This window comes from Homo sapiens, chromosome 3 (genome assembly GCF_000001405.40).
Source record: "Homo sapiens chromosome 3, GRCh38.p14 Primary Assembly".
Taxonomy (NCBI): domain Eukaryota; kingdom Metazoa; phylum Chordata; class Mammalia; order Primates; family Hominidae; genus Homo; species Homo sapiens.
The window spans coordinates 127710688-127731057 of NC_000003.12; the positions used below are offsets into that span (position 1 = coordinate 127710688).

General features: G+C 48.4%; 1 protein-coding gene across 13 annotated transcripts in view; it reads right to left on the bottom strand.

The window, feature by feature from the left end:
• Positions 1-20370, bottom strand: part of MGLL (monoglyceride lipase) — a 134120-nt gene that overhangs the window by 21622 nt on the left and 92128 nt on the right. For 9 of the 13 annotated variants that reach the window (NM_001388316.1, NM_001003794.3, NM_001388317.1 and 6 more), the window contains 2 exons: positions 11743-11879; positions 10366-10476 (listed from right to left, as the gene is read on the bottom strand). In NM_001388316.1, coding sequence (NP_001375245.1) covers positions 10366-10476; positions 11743-11879 — 248 coding nt within the window. Of the gene's footprint in view, positions 1-5165; positions 5244-10365; positions 10477-11742; positions 11880-20370 lie in introns of all 13 variants that reach the window. The other 4 variants (NM_001388313.1, NM_001388315.1, NM_001388312.1 and 1 more) reach the window with 1 other exon arrangement.

Genomic DNA, 20370 nt, shown 5'->3' on the forward strand with positions numbered 1-20370 from the left:
GGCTGTGAGCACAAGTGGCATCCACACCCGGCTCTTCCGCAGTGACAGTTTACAGTACATTAAGGAGAGTGATGCCCAAACTGAACATCAGCCAGGTTCGTCTCCCAAGCCTGCGTCCTTAAGCCTGCATGCCCAAGGACTCTCCCTTCTGACTCAGCCTCTATTCAGCCTGGCTCTGCTCCACCTTGGGGGAGCTGGCCAGGCAGCCGCTGCGCCCAAGGTGGGAAGTCACGTCTGAATTTTGCCCGCTCTATACCCTCCCCATGATCGCTCATGGGTTGTAATTTTGCATCACTGGCAAGAGTTGCCTGGGATGAGCTCTGGCCATTTCTCTGGGGTACTGAAAATACACGGCAGGTGCAGAATCACACAGATCAACTGAGCACGAAGCAGGGCAGTGCGGAAGGGCCCACAGGAGCCACACAGAGAAAGTGTGCGTCCATTTCTCTCGGGTGGAAGTAGAAATAGCACCAGCTCGATGAGGAGGCTGTGTGGCAGAGGGAAGGATTGCTGGGTTTGATTCCTAGCTCTGCTGCCTCGTGAACATGGGCTGGGATTTCCACATCGCTGAGCCTCCGTTTCCTCAGCTGCCAGTGGGACCTTGACCCTCCCCCAGAGGACCACGGGGAAGGTGAATAACACCCTGTGTGCAAAAGCCCAGGGAACACAGCAGGAGCTTAACACATGCTCATTGAACTTGAGCCTGATTGAGGCCCAAACCTTCCCACCCCCTCCCCCATCTCTCCTTCTGGATCTCTTGTTTTCCCAGGAAAACAGAGAACCCGGATCTCACACTTCTGCCTTCAGAGAGGGGCTGTTTTCATTTCTGCAATGTGCACAGACATTTGGGGATGAAAGATGCTATTTCAAAAGTGAGCTGTGAAATGCTGAAATTAGAATTGGACGGAAGGTGGCAAGCAGTGAATTCTCAGTGTACATCAAGGGCACAGGGCACGTAGCTCAGTACCCTTGGCAGAGGGCAAGGGCACTCACAGGCACCGAGGAACCACCTTCTGGTGCATTGGGCACAGTTTCCCTATCTTTTTTTTTTTTTTTTTGAGAGTCTTGCTCTGTCACCCAGGCTGGAGTGCAGTGGCGCAATCTCGGCTCACTGCAACCTCTGCCTCCTGGGTTCAAGTGATTCTCCTGCCTCAGCCTCCTGAGTAGCTGGGATTACAGGCGCGTGCCACCACGCCTGCCTAATTTTTGTATTTTTAGTAGAGACGGGGTTTCACCATGTTGGTTAGGCTGGTCTCAAACTCCTGACCTTGTGATCCGCCTGCCTCGGCCTCCCAAGGTGCTGGGATTATAGGCGTAAGCCACGGCGCCCGGCCAGTCTCCCTGTCTTTGCAAAAACCCTGGGAGATGAGGCTTCATCCTCACTGAACAGATGAGAAAATGGAGGCTCGGTACCATGAGGTCCATGGGAGGGGCCCCGGGCTGGGGGGCCGCTTTATCTTCTTATGCCACACAGCCTGGATTACTACGTCTCTGTCTCTGCCGCTGTCTGTGTCTCTCTCCACAAATGTAACCCAGAGCTCTAACCTTCCCGTGGGTCTTGGCACCAGCGGCCACTGATGTTCTTTTGGGGGACAAGATTGCTGTGCTTGCCCACCCTCCCTGTAGGCCAGGGCTAAACCTTCCTGTGTCCTAGGCCCGCACAAGTGTGGCGTGACTGCCCACCACGATTGTTTCTCAACCATCCAGTATCAGGCAGACAGCAAAAAACGGGCTTTTCTCCTAAAGGGCTTTGTTCCATGTGCATGAACCTATTCGGAGTTCCATGTGGTCAACACTCCTTTTCTCAAATGGTAGAAATCAGTAATTCCTTCTTAGTGCAAAGGTGGCAGCCCCCTGCCTCTGAGGATACCGAAGCTTACTGCCCTCCAGCCTTGGCATCCAGGCAAGCAGATCTCATTCTGCAGCCGCCACTGTGCCAGGTGCTTTGCTGAGCCCTGGGCTCCGACTTTGACTGTCTAGTATAGAAGCATGCGGCAGCCTGACTTTGAGCACTGTGCAGGGGCATGGTGTGTCTGCATAATCGGAAGCCTCGAAGGGTGGCCGTGATGGGTCAGGAATGTTCAAGAGTCCAGCTAGTATCATGGGCCAGCTCCAAGAACGAGCCTGGGAAAGGAAAACTTGGAATTCTGGGAACTCTGCACAAGGACTGGGGTATTTTCAAACACGGATCAAATGTCTGTGAACTCCAAGAATTGGGAGCTCGTCTGCATTGGGATCTGTGCTTTCAAAGGTTAAAACAATCTAAAAATGAGAAAATGGAGTGGATCAGTGCATAAAGGCAGTGGGCTGTGGCTCTGTGGCCTTCACTAGACTCTGGCTGTGTAAGGACGAGTGTTCCAGGGCCTTAGCGCTCTCCTCCAGCAGCAGTGGGCAAGGGCCACACTGTGAGGGAAGACTTCTGTGTTCCACAGTTATGAAGAACTCACTTCTAGATATTCTGCTGTTCTCAGTACCCTGTCACTACTCCCTGATGCTGGCAGTGTGTGTGTCCATGAAACACCACAAACACCTCCTCCCAGTGCTGCCCTGAGAGACTGATTGTATTGGCCGAAGTGGAGCCCTGGCATCAGTGCCTTTTTAAAGTTCCCTAGTGATCCTGTGTGCAGCCAGAGGAGACATGGGGCTGCCAGCTGTGGCGGGAGGATCCCCACCACACTCAGGAACCGCAGGAAGGCTCTGTGTAACGGGATGGTGTGCAAGTGCCAGCCTTGCAGGCGCTGCTCCCAGGTCAACCCACCTGCCTGCTGGGGCCCACACAGCCTTCTCAGGGACATGACTGTTTTATGTAAGCCAGCTTCCTACCCATTCCCTGACCAGATGGCTCAGAGCCAAGAAAAGGCCCAGGGACCCAGCACCTCAGCAGTGCCTGCCACAGAGGTGAAAGCAAGAGACCACCCAGCATCCACACCATTTCGTCCAAGCCCACCACCAGATTTCTCATTGTGCCACCATTTGTGTTTTGGGGACCCATCACCTGATTCTGCAGGGACCTGGGCCTGGAGGTGCCAGTCCATCTTCAGGATCAGTCATTTGTGAAGACAGACTTACCTTCATCCTTGAACATATGTTTCTGCTGCTGGCACCTCTTAACCCAAAACTTTTATACCAAAAAGTGACAAGGCCTCTACTTCCAGGCTCTGGAGAAGATGCTGACAGCTTAGGCTGTTGGCGCCTCAAGGATCAGCGCAGCTTGAGCCATCCTTGAAGTGGTTTCACAGAGGTTGGGGAAGGGGGAACAGAGAGCCAGAGAGAGAGCCTGCCTCCAGGAGAGAATTACAGCAAGCCCTATTCTGTCGTCTCACCCAGCAAGCCTGATTTTCTTCCTCCATGAACAGTGGAACTTTTTGCAGTTAAAGTAAGCTTTTAAGAAAAGAGCTTCGTAGGAAAAAAAAAAAAAGAGGAGAGCCACTTCCTGAGAAGTATTTGCTTTAGAAAATGAACAATGCAAGGGGCTGGTCCCTGGAGGGAAGGAAGTGATTCCTGGCAGCTGAACGCCTCACCATCCCCTTCCAGGTACAAAAAGCCAAGGACTGGGAGGCCTCCCCGTCCTATGGCTGTGAATGATCTATTGCTGAAAGCGCAAACAGGAGATGTGGGGAGAGCACATCCTGCTCAGGAGTGGAGGCAGAAGGTGACTTCCACTGCATGCATCCAGCTGAGCGCTGGCTGCCCAAGGACGGAAGGGACAAGCAGCCACCCTCGCTCCCCTAAAGGAGCTGCTGCCAGCAGGTTCAGGATGAGGGAATGTGCCTAAGAGGACAAGCTTGTAACAGTAAAACTCCCGTGGCTGATGGTGTGCATGAGGCACTGGTGTCCCGGCGACAATAACTGGTTGTTCCATCACGAATGTAGATGGAGGAACACGCCCTCCAGGAAGGCCTGGTGTAGATTCTGCAGACTTTTCCCAGTGAATGCGCACACAGGTGTGTCCTGGCACTAAATCCCGAGGAATGCCACCCCAAGAACAGAAAGGTCTCAGTGCATAGATGGCTGCTGAAGCCCTGGGTGCAAGTTACACCACAGAGAGTGTGCAAAGAGGCAGGAGGGGACCCGGGTGGATACACCATTCACAGGAAAGGTGCAGAAAGAGAAACCCATGAAGGAGACTTCTAGAGTCCTGGGATTCCCTTAAAACGATCTGTAACTCCCTGTCTTCCCAGGAAGATGGAACCGCCTGTACTGTTCTGTTCCTTCAATCCAGTTGGCGTATGGTAGCGGGCACAGCACACCCATCCCAACATCCCAGGGCCTCCCTGCTCAGTGTGGTCCTCAAACCAGCAGCGCCAGGGGCTCCAGGGCCACCTGGCTTCTGGGTCAGGATCTGTAGCTTCACAGGGCTCCTGGGCATTCATGTGCGTGGTGAAGTCTCAGGGGCTGGCAGTGTGTGTGTCCATGAAACACCAGAAACACCTCCTCCCAGTGCTGCCCTGAGAGATTCTGATTGTATTGGCCAAAGTGGGGCCCTGGCATCAGGGCCTTTTTAAAGTTCCCTAGGGATCCTGTGTGCAGCTAGAGCAGAAGTGCCTCTGACAGGCACTGGCTAGGATGGAGGTGTACACGTCCCTGCAGGGCAAGCTGCCCTTTCAAAGGAACCACCATAAGAGATGTTTGCATAGCCCTGATCTTCAGCTCTTTTTCTAAACCTGCATAGTAAGTTCCAAGCCATATTTCTAACAAGACTCAATTGTGTAGAGGCAAATATTTTAATGATAACTTCATGGCTTAAAACAAATTAGGTGTTTAGCCTCTTCCCCATAAAAGCCCCAAGAAAGAGGAGAGCTGCCATGCAGGGGCAGGATGTTTTGAACAACTGCAAAAGAGATCCCCTTTCCCTGCTGCTCTTTTAAGATTTGTTGATTTCATGAGCCTAATCTCTCCTGAAGGAGGAAAGGGTAGGATGGGAGGAGAAAGAGCTAAGCAGAGGAAGTGGGTTGATTGTGCATGAAGGAAAGCAGAACGGTTGAGCAGGGGCCATTGAGGCGGCATGACGAGGAAGCAGTGGGGAAGGAAGGAGTCATGGCAGGTCCCGCACCCAGATGGATCACATTGTCGAGGTCGACCAGATGACTGCTGCTCCTGCTCTCCCACAACCTCCATCCTGAGCTGTGAGCACACCAGGGAAGCCTCAGAGGGGAGTTGCTCACCCAAAAAGGACGTGGAATCCAAAACTTTAACATTCTTGATGCCTTTTCCATCAAGTGTTTCAAAATCCTCGAATAGTCCTACAGGAGCATTGAGAGAGCCTTGGATCCAGCTCAGGAGAGAGGAGCCCCTGCATGGCTCCCCCATTGAGGTGAGACCCCCCGCACCTGCCCCATGACCCTGGTGAAACCAGGTTTGTGTAACCACAGAGCTCCCAATTATGCCAGCTCAACCCAGACCCCAGGGGTCGTCGCCTGAGGATAATTTGGGGCCAAAACCCATGACAAATGGCTACACAGTCACTAGACCCCAACCCCGGAAGGGACAGGCGATGAAATGGAGAAACCAGATTTGGAGACGCGAAGCAGGCACATTTGGATTTGAACTTTGATTCTGAATCCTCGAGAAAGTCTATGATCTCAGTTTCTTCACCTGTAAGACAGGGATAATTAAACTAACTCCGAAGGGATGCTGGGAGAGCTGCATGAGACTCAACCGCTCTGCAGCAGGTCCCTAACTCTCTTCCTGGCTTCTGGCCCTAAGGAGAGGCCCAATAAATAGGTGTTGGTTGACTGAATGAATGAGCAAATGTCATTCAAAGTAGAGACTTCAGGAAAAGCACGTGACGTGCAGCTTTGCAACAAATGACACAGTCATCCACAAATAGGGCAACTGTCCCACAGCTGAAGTCAACATCTTGATGAGCAAGAGGCTTGAGGGGCGTTCCCGATGCACCATCACGCCTGTCACTTTAAATACTAGAGACAGGCACAAATGCCTTTATTGATCCAGAAGGTTTTAATGGCTCCCTGTGATCATTTCTAAGTGAATTTCACTTCTGCCAGTGAAAGCCTTGCCATGAGGAAGGCAATTACAGATGCTGTTTCCTAAGTGGCTCCCACAGGCTGACCTGTGCGCAGGAGGCTAGGACTCCCCACCTTCCGTGGGACAGCACTATGACAAGGGTCATAGGACGGCCATGTGGGGGACACAGCAGGTACCCTCAGGGTTGCCCCAGATTTTCTTGAGAGTGAGAGGACACCTTAAGGCAGCCATAAAACAGAAAGTGCTGTGCCCCTTTCCCAGTGACCCTTGCTGGGAAGGCCAGGACATTTGTTTCCTGATAGATCAGGGGCTCAGCAAAGATGTGTGGCAGGAGGCTTGCTAGGAAGACAGCTGATTCCTGGAATAACAGGTGTCTAGAAAGCCCAACACCCAGCTATTAGAGAGCAGGTGCCCACAGGACAGAGGTGAACTAACCCCCACGGCAGCTCATTGCTGCTGCCCAAAGGGCCAGTGCATGGCTAAGTTCCGGGATCCTGGGTCCAAATTCACCTGAAGCTTGAAAGAGTGGCCATGTTCCACTTGTTTCCCCTCCCTCCCTGCAATCTCCCACTGCCCCAAGGGCCTTCTGGATTCTATGGCTAAAAACAGATGAGTGACATTCAGATGGGAGTGGGCTCCATTAAGGGAAGCTGATTTCAGGTGTGTTTTGGGGTGAAAGGGGGTATCCTGGCATGCTAGCTGGTCTGAGCTGGTGCTCAAGCTGACTCGAGCAAGACATTTGGCCTCATTTCCTTGTCTGTAAATTGGGAATAATTTCCCCTCCTTCCAGGGCGGTGCTGGAGAGGAATGGAGACAATGCATGTCAGGCACCGAGTGCTGGGCTCCCAGGGGCAACCCCCTTCTCCCTACTGGGCGAGGTGCCCTTCTTGGCGGAGAGTGGGAGTATCTTGAAGCACTGGCTGACTCCTGCACCCCTGCCCCAGGAACCCAAGGGACAACCTTGGCAACAGGGAGAGGTCATTTAGAATGATTACTCTCCTGGTAGGCTGAGACCCCCATCCCTCAAGCTTAGCCCAGAGGGATTTTTCTCTTCTAAGAGGCTCCCAGAGAAAGGAGGGGCCCTGCAGCCTGCAGTTGCTCCTGAGTGCTGTCCCAGACAACTAAGGGTGGGAAATCCCGAGGGGCACCTGGAGCTTTACACTCTTCCAGCTGGGGGGCCACAGTTCCACCTCTGTACCCAGGCACGAGCCGCGAGCCATGGTGAAAAACCCCACAGAGTGACCTCACAAATAGCCAGATTTGTTCAGATGCATGGAGTTTTTGTTTCTGAATTTCTGCTGCTACCACTTTGCGAAACCACTTTCTCAGCAGAGACAATGTTTGGGGCCCCCCCATCCATCCTCATTGTCTCATCTCCAGGCTAAATATATCCCAGCTTGTTGAAAACCAGCATCCACATAAGAACCAGATGGTGGCGAGATTTAGGAGGGTGGGGGTGATCTGGCGTTCTCACATTGCAGGGGGTGGGGGCTGGCCGTCTTCCACAGGCCAGACTGTACTCACAGACTGGGCATCTCACGCTGCCCCTTACTAACTGGGGGAGTTGCTCTAGAAGGTGCCTGGTGCTGGGAAACTGTTGAATGGCTTGATGGATTGAACACTGTCTGAGGAGTCAGGAGGCTGGGACTTGACTGTGCTCTGCTACCACTCACAGCCACACTCAGGGAAGCCCCTCAGCCCCACCACCAAACAGATTTCCCAAACAGAACGCTAGAGGGAGGAGGTGGGCTCTAGGAATTGTTCCATCATTGAGGCTCATAAGAGCAAACAACTGGAAATGACCCCAGGGCACCCTCCTGAAACCAGGACCTATCCCTGCAGTGGGACCCTTGGTAGGTCCTGATGGGGAAGGAGCACCAAAAGGTTGCTAAGCAAAACCACCAAATAAAACCCAAAACCCACAAAAACAAACACACCAACCAAAACAACAAAAGCAAACACAGAGTACCCCCGACATGCATGGAGCAAGCTCCCATTTGTGTGAAAAAGAAGAACAAATGGAGTGAGCGTTGACGGGAGTTGCAGAGACTCTCGCTGGTACCATGGGTTGCTGCCCACGCCAACCGGGAGAGAGACTCTCCCTGCATCCTCCTTCATATCTTTTGAATTTTGAACCATAGAAATGTCTTATTCTTAAAACTTTTAAATTACATTAAAAAATAGATCCTGTGAGACTTTCAGGAAGGTTGTCAGACCAGACTAGAAAATGTGCCAAGAGTGATGAAGCCTTCCAGGGGCAGGGTGGACGAATGCATCATGGACTTTGTCAGCCAAAATTGCCAGAGATGCAGGAGCAGCAACAGATCTCAGGGAGGGGAAGCTGGGCCCTCAAGTCTGGGGCAAAGGGAAACCTCATTTGTCTTGGTTAATAAGAGGAGACCTGTGTTCCCCCAGGGGCAGCTGGCTCCGAATGTCACAAGGTGATCTATTAGCACAAGTCTTTGAAAGGTCACAGTGGTGGCCTTGCCCAGAAGTGCCCCCTCCCCTGGTCGGTATAGAGCCCAGGGGGCTCTGGGAGGAAACCCTTGTTGGTCCCACCTCCAGGCCCAGCTGCCAGGTCCCCCTGGTGCACTTTATCTGAAAAGTCCTGTGGGCCCTGGCTTTTCTGTAAGGGAAAACATCCATTGCAGAAACATCCATTTTCTTCCCTGGGGAAATATCCTAGATGGGGAGTGGGCAGCCCTGGATTCAAACCCATCACAAGGGCTGCACAATCCTGGCCAGCCATTCATCTTTCCTAAGCCCAGGTTTTCCCATCTGGAAAGTGCTGCTACAACCTGCTCCTGGGCTGGAGAGGAGTTAAATGAGACAATGCCTGGGAGAGCACAGTGCATGCCTGGCATTGGCTGAATTTTGCAGACCTGCATATAGCAAATCCCATGGAACGCAGCGGGAACGCCCCTGCTGCTGAGTCTGGGCCTGCTTATTCTACTTAGATAATTAGAACCATAGTCACGGGAGATGTTGAGTAGGTCATGTCTCCCCCCAATCGCACGTTTCAATGATGAAGAGGTAGTGCACATCCGGGCATTGTGATGCTAAGGGACCTCGATCACTCTGTGACAGAACCCTGGTACTGTCCCACACAGCACTGAACTTCATTCATGATAGTCAATTTCAGTAAGTCCGTGATTTCCTTAAACTGGAGTAAAATTCAAAGGAGATATCATCCATCTCTCTCGCAAACTAAGTAAATCATCGTTCTCTGGCTAAACTATCAGATAGTCCCTGATTTCTCTTTTGCCAAGCCGAGCCCCATTTCAGATGGCTGAAATTTTCTGTTTTTAATTGAAAGCCTGTCTCTAGAGCCAGGAGCAAGTCTGTGGTCATGGGCTGAAGGAAACCCTTTGAGGATGTTGTTATAAGGTTTCATTCCCTGTACTGTGTTGAAGAGAGTGCGGTGGGGGAATAAGAGCTAATGTCATTATTTAAATGATCCCACAGTTCATAGGGTAAGCCTGTGGGTGACGGCTGCCCAGTGCACCTGGCCCCATGACCTACTATCTCACCTCTTTCTCCTTTGAGAGTCTCCAGAACTGACTCAGGAGGCAGCAGCCCCTGCCCAGCACTGGGGTGAGACTGAGGATTCCTTGTGGATACGTGGGGTTGGGATTCTCCACCCTCACTGCGGCTATGTATCTACCTTAAGCCTGATGCCCCCAAGGCCGGGTCTAAACTGATACCTTGTCAACAAGCCAGAGTCACAAGCAAGCCGCCCTACCGAGGCCACTGGTTTCATCTCCTTTCTCGGGGAGAGAAGGTGCCTGCTCCACCTCTAGGTATCATTTGTTGGTTCATTTGCCTTGGCAAAAGCAGCCCAGAGTCCCAGTACCTACAGGGTATATCATTCCTATGGGTCATTCCAACCAGAAAAACAAAATCACGGATCCCTAACAGTCAGAGGTCAAAAGTGCCCGGGGCGGAGGAGCGCGGCAGTGGATGCGACTCCATACTGCATGCAGTTAGGAGTGCCTGCAGTTCCACTCACTGTTCACTTTCTGCTGAAGTTGGCAAATAATCAGTGAAAAACAGCCCAGGCCTTGAGTGTGACTTGTTAACAAACGTGACTTTGCTGGACAAATAACAAGTCTAACCTCGTCTCCTTTTAAAATTCATCAATAAAACATGCACAAACAGGAAGGCATTGTCTTTTTGTCTTGGGGGAAAATGGCACCTGCCTTTAGAAATTACAGAACCCCGGTGGCAACAGTGTTGGATATTTGTCCAACCCCTCACGCAATAGTGTCTGAGGTCCAAGGATGGCCTTTGGTCTTTTTACATAGACTCAGGCTACAAATGGAAGACCCATGTCCCGGGGAACCTGTAGGAATTGTACAGACTGGAAGGTCCTTTTACCTTGAAAGTTGTTGCAGATTCAGGATTGGCAAGAACCAGAGGCGAAATGAGTACCATGCCGGCGAAGTGGCCCGGCCTCTCTGCGGCCGTGAGGATGGCGATGGCGCCTCCCTGTAATGCAGAATGGGCAGAGCTGCTGTGTTCGGCTTGCACCAGTGCACACATTTCTAATAAACATGACCAATGCAGTCCTCTTAAGCTGCAGTCCTGGCCAAGAGCCCTGAGGAGGACTACCTTGGAAGAGGCACCATCAAATGTTGGCTAAACTAGATCTGCAATTATTTTATTATACATGTTTTTTTCTCTGGGTTTTCCAAGAGCAAACATTTCAGAGAGATATAAATAAGGTTCCTGCTTGTGGGCCGCAAGTTAAACAATAACACATTCCCACTTCATTTCAAGCCCAAAGCTGGCAAAACCCCAATTCATCCATCCCGACAGGCTTAATAGGAGGGTTTTTTTTTTTTTTTTTTTTTTTGGTGGGGGGTAATCTGATCATAATAATAGATTGCTATACTATACTTTTTCCTGGTTTAGTAAAGGTCCTAGAAATTTAAATTCCAAGAAAAATGGGAGTGAACGTGGATGGTGCTGAAGGAGAGAGGCCTCACCTGTTTGCTGAAGCACAAAGGTGCTTAAAAGCAAGGGTTGCAACCGCAAATGCTCACGGGGCTGGGCAGGTAAGAGAAATGTAAGGACAGAGCCAGGCAGTGACCATGGGGCAGGAGGCAAGGCCTGCCCTGGTCAGATGTCCCCAGGCCTTCAAATTCAAGCAGTTCAATATATCTTGGTCAGCCAACCAGCCTGCTTTGTCTGTAGGTAGATTTGGCCTGTGGGCTGCCAGTTTAAGGACCCCGATTTAAGATTACATTTGCTCGATTACATTTTAAGATTATATTTGCTCAATTTACATATTTAAAAGGTGGAAGGAGTTGGAATAAGCTTTAAGGAATTGTTTCCATGTGGACCCTCTGTCCCTAGTTAACATTTGTCATCTGAGTTCAATTCTGAAACAAGCACACAGGGTTTGGGGACATTTCATGTGCTTCTTATTGATGAAGGAGCTATTCCCCCCTCCAAGAAGTGGCTCTTAGCAGCCTCACTATGAAATGGCACCAAGTGGGCCAAAGAACGTTGAGAAAAAGATCAGTTTTCCAAGAGGCCCCGTATTCAAGCTGCTCACTAAGGACCGGCTGGCAGCCTCCCTTGTTTCCTAAGCACGGAATTGCCCAGGAACTCCAAGTGCAGTGCACAAAGGGAGACATCATGCCAGCCAGGCAGAGAGCAGTGGGGGGCAGGAAGTCAGGGCCACCCCCTTCCCCCTGCAAGGCTGGAAGCCAGGGTGGATTTAACCTGGGTCTTCTGTGGTCTGCTTACCATGGAGTGGCCCAGAAGGAAGACAGGAAGCCCAGGGTAGTCTTTCTGCATGGAATCCACATGCTGCAACACATCCCTGACGAAAACGTGGAAGTCAGACACTACCATCCTCTCCCCTTCGCTCTGTCCGTGGCCAACTGGAAAGGAACGGGAGATGAGAGAGAGCTGCAGTTACCAGGTCGACTCCTACACAAGCCCAGAGTTCTCCTCACTGCAATCGCTCTCTCTCCTGAGCGCCTGAATGTGTCACCTCATTTAACCCTTTCCAGCCACTCTTGAACGTTGGAATTCTTCTCCCCACTTTTTATGGATTAGGAAACTGAGGCACAGAGTGGTTGAGGAATGTGCCCAAGATCACACCACTAGGAAGCAACGAGCCAGGGTGTACCTACTACAAAGGCTCCCTTGGGGGTGGTTTCCAAGGAAGGGAAAAAGCACAGGTACACAGAGAGCCTCAGCATGCCCAGTGTTCTGCAAAGCAGCCGGGAGTAAGACGAAGAAGGCTCAGAATTTTCCTGCATTTTCCCTGTTCCTTGCCCCTGGCAGCTGTGCCTGAATATTGGCCTTTCACTAGGTAGAGTGGTACACTCAGCCCCTCATCTTACAGTTTTAGGTGAAGATAATATGACAAACATAAAATAATATGTAGTCATCGGGTGTGCTTGCCAGAAAGCGTCTCGACGAAGCTGCAGTGAAACTAGGTCACATTCTCTCCCTCTTGAGTTTAATCTGTCACATATCTGTGCTGTTCACCCCCTTGTTCTTTCCTTAGGGCCCTCCACTTTCTCCCTCTTTGAAGGACATCAGTCGCTATAGAAACAACTCACTGGCTGTGGCTTCACATTCGGGCTGAAAGCAGCTGTGATGGTTTGAAAATGGCAAAAAAGAAAGCGCTTCTGGAGAACTGGGACCACACAGCCAGAGGGGCTGCCCAGACCTTCCCTGCTGAGAGCCTGAAGCACTCATTAAGCCTCTGCCACCTCTGGGGAGGCTGCTGCAGTAATAACGGTCACCACCTGGAACTGACAGGCTGCCCAGACCTCCAGCTTGGAGACCCTCCTGCTGTCAGGCCCCAAGCTCCCGTGTTTCCCACTGGCCCTTCCCCCACACCCACCTTCCCAGTCGCCCCCCCACGGTCTGTCTGACCATCCCAGTGGGCCCGGGAGTCCCACTACCCTCTCAGCAGCACTCCCCCTTTCCTTGCCCTTCTGAGCTTTTTTCTCTTTTAAAATTTATTTTTACTTTTTACTGTGCTATCATATCCGTAACATAAATCGTACTGTTTGAACCATTTTTAAATGTAAGGTTCAGTGGCATCAACATTATTGTGCAACCCTGTACTTTTTCACCTTCCCACGCTGAGACTACATACCAATTGATATGGGTTGACTTGTGTCCCCCAAATCCATATGTTGAAGCTCTAACCCCCAGGATCTCGGAATGGGACCTTATTTGAAGACAGGGTCTTAAAAAACATGACTAAGTTAAATGAGGTCCTTAGGGTGGGCCCTAATCCAAATGACTGGTGTCCTGTAAGGAGAGGGGATTAGAACCCAGACATAGAGGGAAGATTATGTGAAGATGCAGGGAGATGGCAGCCATTTACAAGGCAAGGAGAGCCTGCAGGAGAAACCAACCCTGCTGATGCCCTGATCTTGGACTTCCAGCCTCTGGAACTGTGAGACAATAAATGTCTGTTGTCGAGGCCCCAGTCTGTGGTCCTTTGTTATGGAAGCCCTGGCAAACTCATACTAGCTATTAAACCCCAACTCCCCTTTCCTTCTTACTCTCTCTTCCCCCACACCCCTGGCACCCTCTACTCCACTTTCTGCTTCTATAAATTTGACTACTCTAGGGACTTCATTTGAGTGGAATCAGGCCATATTTGTCTTTTTGTGTCTGGCTTATTTAATGTAGCACAGTGTCTTCAAGGTGCATCCATGTAGTCGTGTGTGTCAGAATTTCCTTCCTTTTTAAGGCTGCAGCATATTCCATTCTGTGGATGGACCATGTTGTGTTTATCCATTTGTCTGTCGAGGGACATTTGGACGGTTCCCACCTTTTGGCTATTGTGAATGATGCTGCTGTGAATATGGGTGTGCAAATATCTCTTCACATCCCAGCTTTCAATTCTTTGGGGTATATACCCAGAAGTGGGGTTGCTGGGTCAGATGGTGATTCTGTGTTGAATTTTTGAGGCATGACCCCGCATTTCCATGTGGAACATCTCTCTGGATGCAGCCGCTGCTCCTCCACACTCTAAAGCCTGAGGGCTGGCTGCACACAAACGCTGAGCCAAGGCAACACCAGGGCTGCCCAGTGTCAGGCTCCCTCTTCCCACAGGCTTGGTCTCCAAACAAGCTCATCTGGGCATCTCTTCCGTATGTTTCTATTCTCCCAAAACTTGCAATCCTACCTCACAACCCTGGGGACGTAGTATCACTCATTTTTTTGAAAACATGGGGACAGTCTAAAATGGCCCTCTACGTTGGAAGCATCCCCCTTTCTGATTCCGACCACTCCTGGCCCAGCCTGCTCCCTGTGCCAGCTGCATCCCCATCCTCCCTCCTTCATCCACAGCCCCCAAGCTGCCCTCTTCCCCTCCCTCCTTAAGGGGTGGTCCACACTCATGGCCCTTTTCCCACCTACATTCTCTCTCCAGCCCTGGAGGCTCCGTGCGACCCTCAGCTGAGTCCACCCCAGTAAGCCTTTACCCCATCCTCTTCCGAGATCTTGGCTCACTCAGCACCACATGCTCCTGCTGACTTTGTCATGGGGTGCACTGGAAATGGACTTCCTTGGCTCTCCTCCTTCTCATCTGGCTGTGTTTTCTTTTTCTCTTTTCCTTCCTGGCTGATTTCTGTATTTATTCCTTCATTCAATCATTTTTAATTAAAAAATTGCATTTTAAAAGACATTTGATTCACATGGTACAAAATCAAAGTGGCATGAAAGATGTACACTGACGGTCCCTTTCCCACTTCCTCCCATCCACCCGATTCCCTATCTTCCCCTAAACTCTTCTCTTAGTGTCTCAGCCTCTTTACAAGCAAATACAAATATAAATCCTAATTTTTACCCCGGTCCTAAACACAAAGAAACACACAACAGATCCTGCTCTGTGTAGGGCTTCGTTCACTTGACACCATATCCTGAAGATCTTCCAACGTTTGAAATAGGGCTCCTCCCCAGCTTCTTACTACAAAACTTTCAAATGCACAAAAACACTGAAAAAAACATTCCAATAAAAACCCATATGCCTACTATCTTTATTCAACAGTTGTTATTTTATTTGCTGTATACATACACATTTATGAATATAAAAATGGCTGAATCTTTTAAAAGTAAATTGCAGGCTGGGCAAGGTGGCTCACATCTGTAATCCCAGTGCTTTGGGAGGCCAGGGTGGAAAGATCGCTTGAGGCCAAGAGTTCACAATTGGCCTGGGCAATATAACAAGACAGACCCTGTTGCTAAAAAAGAATTTAAAACAGAAACTGGACATTGGTGGCGTGGTGGTGCACACCTGTAATCCTAGCTACTTGGGATCACTGGAGCCCATGAGGTTGGGGCCGCAGTGAGCTGTGCTCGCACCACTGCTCTCCAGCCTGGACAAAAGTGAGACCCTATCTCAAAAAAAAAAAGAAAGGGAAAGAAAGAGAAGAAACAGAAGAAAGAGAAAGAAAGCAGGAAAGAAAGAAAGAAAGAAAGAAAGAAAGAAAGAAAGAAAGAAAGAAAGAAAGAAAGAAAGAAAGAAAAGAAAAGAAAGAAAGAAAGACAGAAGGAAGGAAAGAGAAAGAAAGAGGAAGGAAGGAAGGGAGGGAAAGAGAGAGAGAAGGAGGGAGGGAGAGAGGAAGGAAGGAAGGGAGGGAGGGAGGGAGAGAAAGAAAGAGAAAGAAAGAAAGAGGAAAGAAAGAAAGAAGGAAAAGAATGAAAGAAAGAAAAGTAAGTTGCAGATTATAACAACAGACAAATCTGGGTAAAGGATCTAAAGGTTTTTTATTTTTTTTTATTTTTTATTTTCTTTTTAGTAGGAGTCTCACTCTGTTGCCCAAGCTGGAGTGCAGTGGCGCAATCTCGGCTCACTGCAAGCTCCACCTCCCAGGTTCACGCCTCAGCCTCCCGAGTAGCTGGGACTACAGGTGCCCACCACCATGCCCAGCTAATTTTTTTCTATTTTTCAGTAGAGACGGTGTTTCACCATGTTAGCCAGGATGGTCTCGATCTCCTGACCTTGTGATCCACCCACCTCAGCCTCCCAAATTGCTGGGATTACAGGTGTGAGCCACCGCGCCTGGCCTACAGGGGTTCTTTATACTATTCTTGCAAACCTTCTGTGAAGTTGAAGGTATTTCTGAATAAAAAGTGTTATAAAAATAATCTATTAACTATTAAAACACTTCACCCTAAACACTTCAGCATGCTTAGTGACATTCTCTTCAAAACTACAATACTATTTTCCTGCCTAAGTAAATTAGCAATAGCTCCCTAATATCATCTAATATACAATCCAAATTCGAATTTCCCCATTGTCTCCAAGTATTTTACAGCTGGTGTTTTAGAACCAGGATGCAAAACTCTTATGCTGTATTTGTTTGCTATGTTCCTTTAGTCTTAGAGGGGCCAGGCTAGTAAATGCCTTACATCCTGTATCTGATTGTTTCCCGTCATGGTCTGTCATTTGACTTGTTTCTGTGTTCCCATTCATTACCAAGAACTTCCCCCCTTCCTCAACACAAATGTACTAGGCTCACCTTATAATTTCCTTGTCCCAGATTTGGAATTAACCATTTCTCCAGGGAGCCCCACTTCCTTTCAGTGTTTAAACATCAAGATTTAAAGTTGGGAGTGTCCAATGCCACCGAGGTGCCTTTGCTTTCATGCTCTTCATTAGGCAGAGCTGAAAAACTTAATTCTTTTTTTTTTACATGAGACTTAAGAAAACTTAATTCTTAAAAAATGAGTCCATATAGATATTTTCAACTATAAATCAATGTTCTGGCTAGGCGCAGTGGCTCATGCCTGTAATCCCAGCACTTTGGGAGGCCAAGGTGGGCAGATCTCTTGGGCCCAGGAGTTTGAGACCAGCCTGGGCAACTTGGCAAAACCCCATCTCTACAAAAAATACAAAAATTAGCCTAGCATGGTGGTGCACACCTGTAGTCCCAGCTAGTCAGGAAGTTGAGGTGAGAGAATCGTTTGAGCCCAGGAGGTCAAGGCTGCAGTGAGCCATGATCGTGCCACTGGGCTCCAGCCTGGGCAACAGAGCAAGGCTAAAAAAAAAAAAAAAAAAAAAAAAACAGAGCAAGAAATCAATGTTCTAAAGTTTTCTCTTACCTTCTTTGATTTTGTATTTTATCTCTTTTCTTTTACACTGAAAATCTTGGTTCCTAATAGCATTAACATATTTACTTATAGCATAGCGTCAAAATTACAATACCAATATTGCCACCAATAATAAGCCTACGGCAAGAAGCTAGAATTGCTTTGCATTTTTTTGTCTTTAGAATATAGTTCAATCATAATATGACTAGAGTATTGTGTTTGAAGTTTAAATTCTTACAAACAGGTTATAATTATTTTCTCTGTGTGCTTATGTTACTAATTTGATAATTAGATGCATTAACTTCAAATTAAATTTCTTTCCATTTGTAGGTTTTTCCTTCTTGCTTTTCAATTTAATTTTCTTTTCCAAATATGAAAACGTGTACTTGACACAACAGTCAGAAATATATTAAAAAATTCATCCAGTGAAGTCTCACTTCTACCCCATCTCCTCCATCTCCCCGCTCGTTCCCTAGCGTTAATCATTCTAATTATTTTCTGTTTTTTCCCTCTAAGCATTTCTTTTTGCAAAAATAAGAAAACTACCTGTTTATCCATCCATCCATCCATCCATCCATCCATTTATCCATCTAGTCTATCATCTATCTATTCTCTGTCTAATCTATTTATCCATCCACCCATCTATTCTTATTTTTCCTCCTTTCTTACTTAAAAGATAGTATGCCACATATCCTACTCTAGAAACAGTCTTGTCTATTTCTGGATTTCTACCAGGTTTTCTTTTCCTCACGTTTAACATATTCTGGAGGTCACTCTGTGTCACAGATCCCAGACCTGCCTCCATTCTGCCTTACTGTTGCGTAGTACGCCCTGTGGGGGTGAACCATAGTTTTTTCAAGCACTCTCTCATCGCAAAACACTTGGATTGTATCCAAGCTCTTATTTATTAAACAGTTGGCTGCGGTAGATAAACTTGGACTATTTTATGTCATCTGCATGATGTTGTATCTTCAGGGTATGTGCCTAGATGCAGGATTGCTTGGCTGAAATGTAAATGCATATGTAATTTTCGTAGGTATTACCAAATTCCCCTCCATGTGGGAGTGTCACCTTTCACTCTATGAGTGAGATGCGGGAGAGGGCCTCTTTCTCTTGGCATGACCAGCAGACTGTGTGTTTGACATTTAGGTTTTTGCTCATATGATAGGAGACAAAGTGTGGGTTGAACATCTCAGATTTTAAGAGCCATTACTTCTTTTTTGGTAAACTGAGTATTCATGTCTTTGCTCATTTTTTTCTATGGGGGTTTCGCATCTCTTCTTAACATTTAGGAGCTGTTTGTATATTAGTTGGTCATTTGTCTTTTGACTTTGTTTACATTGTATTTAGCCAAGCAGAAGATTCTTATTTTTGGTTTCTTTTGAGATTCTTATTTTTGAATAGTCAAGTTATCAATCTTTTCACTTTATGGCTTCTGAATTTTGATTCTTGGTGATAAAGGCCTTCCCCACTCCACGGGTATAAAGGAATTCAGCCATATTTTCTGTGACTTATATTTCTTTTGCAGTGAAATATACATGACCTAAAAAATTAACCACTTTAAATGTACAGTTTAGTGGTATTAAATACATTCACATTCTTGTGCAACCATCACCATCATCCATCTCTAGATAGTTTCATTTTTTTACATTCGAATCTTTGACCCATTTGAATTTTGTCTTGGTGTAGGGTAGGAGATACCCATCTTTTACCAGACCTTTTTTTCAATTCAGTGAAATTCACCTCACAAAAAATTAACCATTTTAAAGTGTACCGATTTAGTGGCATTTAGTATGTCCACAATATTGTTGCAACACTATCTATAAGAAGTTCCAAAATGTAGATGGTTTGTAATCGTCTCAGCAGAATTTATGAACAAGTCCTTCATTGCTTCACTGAATTGCAATGTCATCCTTATCATGTGTTAAAGTTCCCTTTTCACTCAAGCCCAGTCTATTTCTGGATTTCTGCTCAGCTCCACTGGTTTGCTTATTCATGAGCCAGCCCCCATATTATTGAGACATTATAGGAGCCTGCCCTTGACACACATTACATGCAGGAGGCCCCAGGTCACTCTGCGAGCTCTCCCTGGTCCAAGCGCATCACTCCCATGCTTTGACTCTGATGGTAATGTAGGCATCTCCTGGATAAACTGTTTCTGACTCTGGCTTCTTTCCAGAGCTACAGATCCATCCTGCCAACCTGTGGTCAGACTCTCCTGGCTGTTCCACAGCTCCTCAGATTGCTTGCAAATAATTGGCTCTCCTTCACATAGCGGTTAAAGGCCCTGTGAGCCTTCCAAATTATTCAGGCTCAAAACAGGGCTGTCGTCTTTGACTTTAATTCTATTTCTACATTCAATTGGTCCCCAAGTCCTTCTAGATTTCTGCATCCAGTCTCCTTCTTTGCATGTTATATCCCGGTAGGGGTGGAGACTGTTGCTGCCTTTGAACTTACAGTAGCTTCTTCTCCAATCTCCCTGCCCAACCCCAGGCTCTCCATGACCCACCTCCTCTTCCGGAAGCTGCTCTGATGGTGTCGTGGTCCGACGGCCCCCACTGTTTGAGAATGCAGCCTGCACATCCCAGCCCAGTATTCCCAGCCTCCCAGGAAGGCTTCTACTTGTTCCTCTGCCACAATCTGAGCCACATGCACACCCACCTGCCCACGGTTCCTGAAGCATACGCACACGTTCCTGCCCTGTGCCTCTGAACAGGCAGCCTCTCCTTGAGGTCCTCACCCTGCCCCAGTCCTTTAAGGCCCTTTAAATCCCTTCATCCATGGCATCCACTGTAATTCCCTAAATGCAGGTGCAGCTTCCGGAAGAGGAGGTGAGTCATGGAGAGCTTAGGGTGGGCAGGGAGATTGGAGAAGCTACTGCAAGTTCAAAGGCAACATACCCCTTCCATAACCCTGAAGCACTTCTTGCCCCTGTCACATGTGAGTTGATCACAGTCCTCCCTCGTTTTCTCCTCTAGCACCATCCCCCACCCTATAGATGGAGGGTCCTGAGAGCAGGGGTGCCACATGGCTCTGTGCTGCAGTGGCTTCTAAGGTGAGTGTGGCTGGATGGGGCGCAAAACAGTCCTGAGTGAACGATGATGTTTGTGTGGACTTGGGGAGGGAATGCACCGTGCATGTGCCCATGTCTGCCAGGGCCGTCTTGGAGAGCAAAGATCATACTTTATTCACCTGTGCATTCCCTAGGGTTCCTGGCACGGGCCTGGCAGAAGGTGGGTGTTTGATCAATGTCTGTTGAAATGAATTGTAGGCAGTGTTTCCATAATGGCCACTTACCAAAGA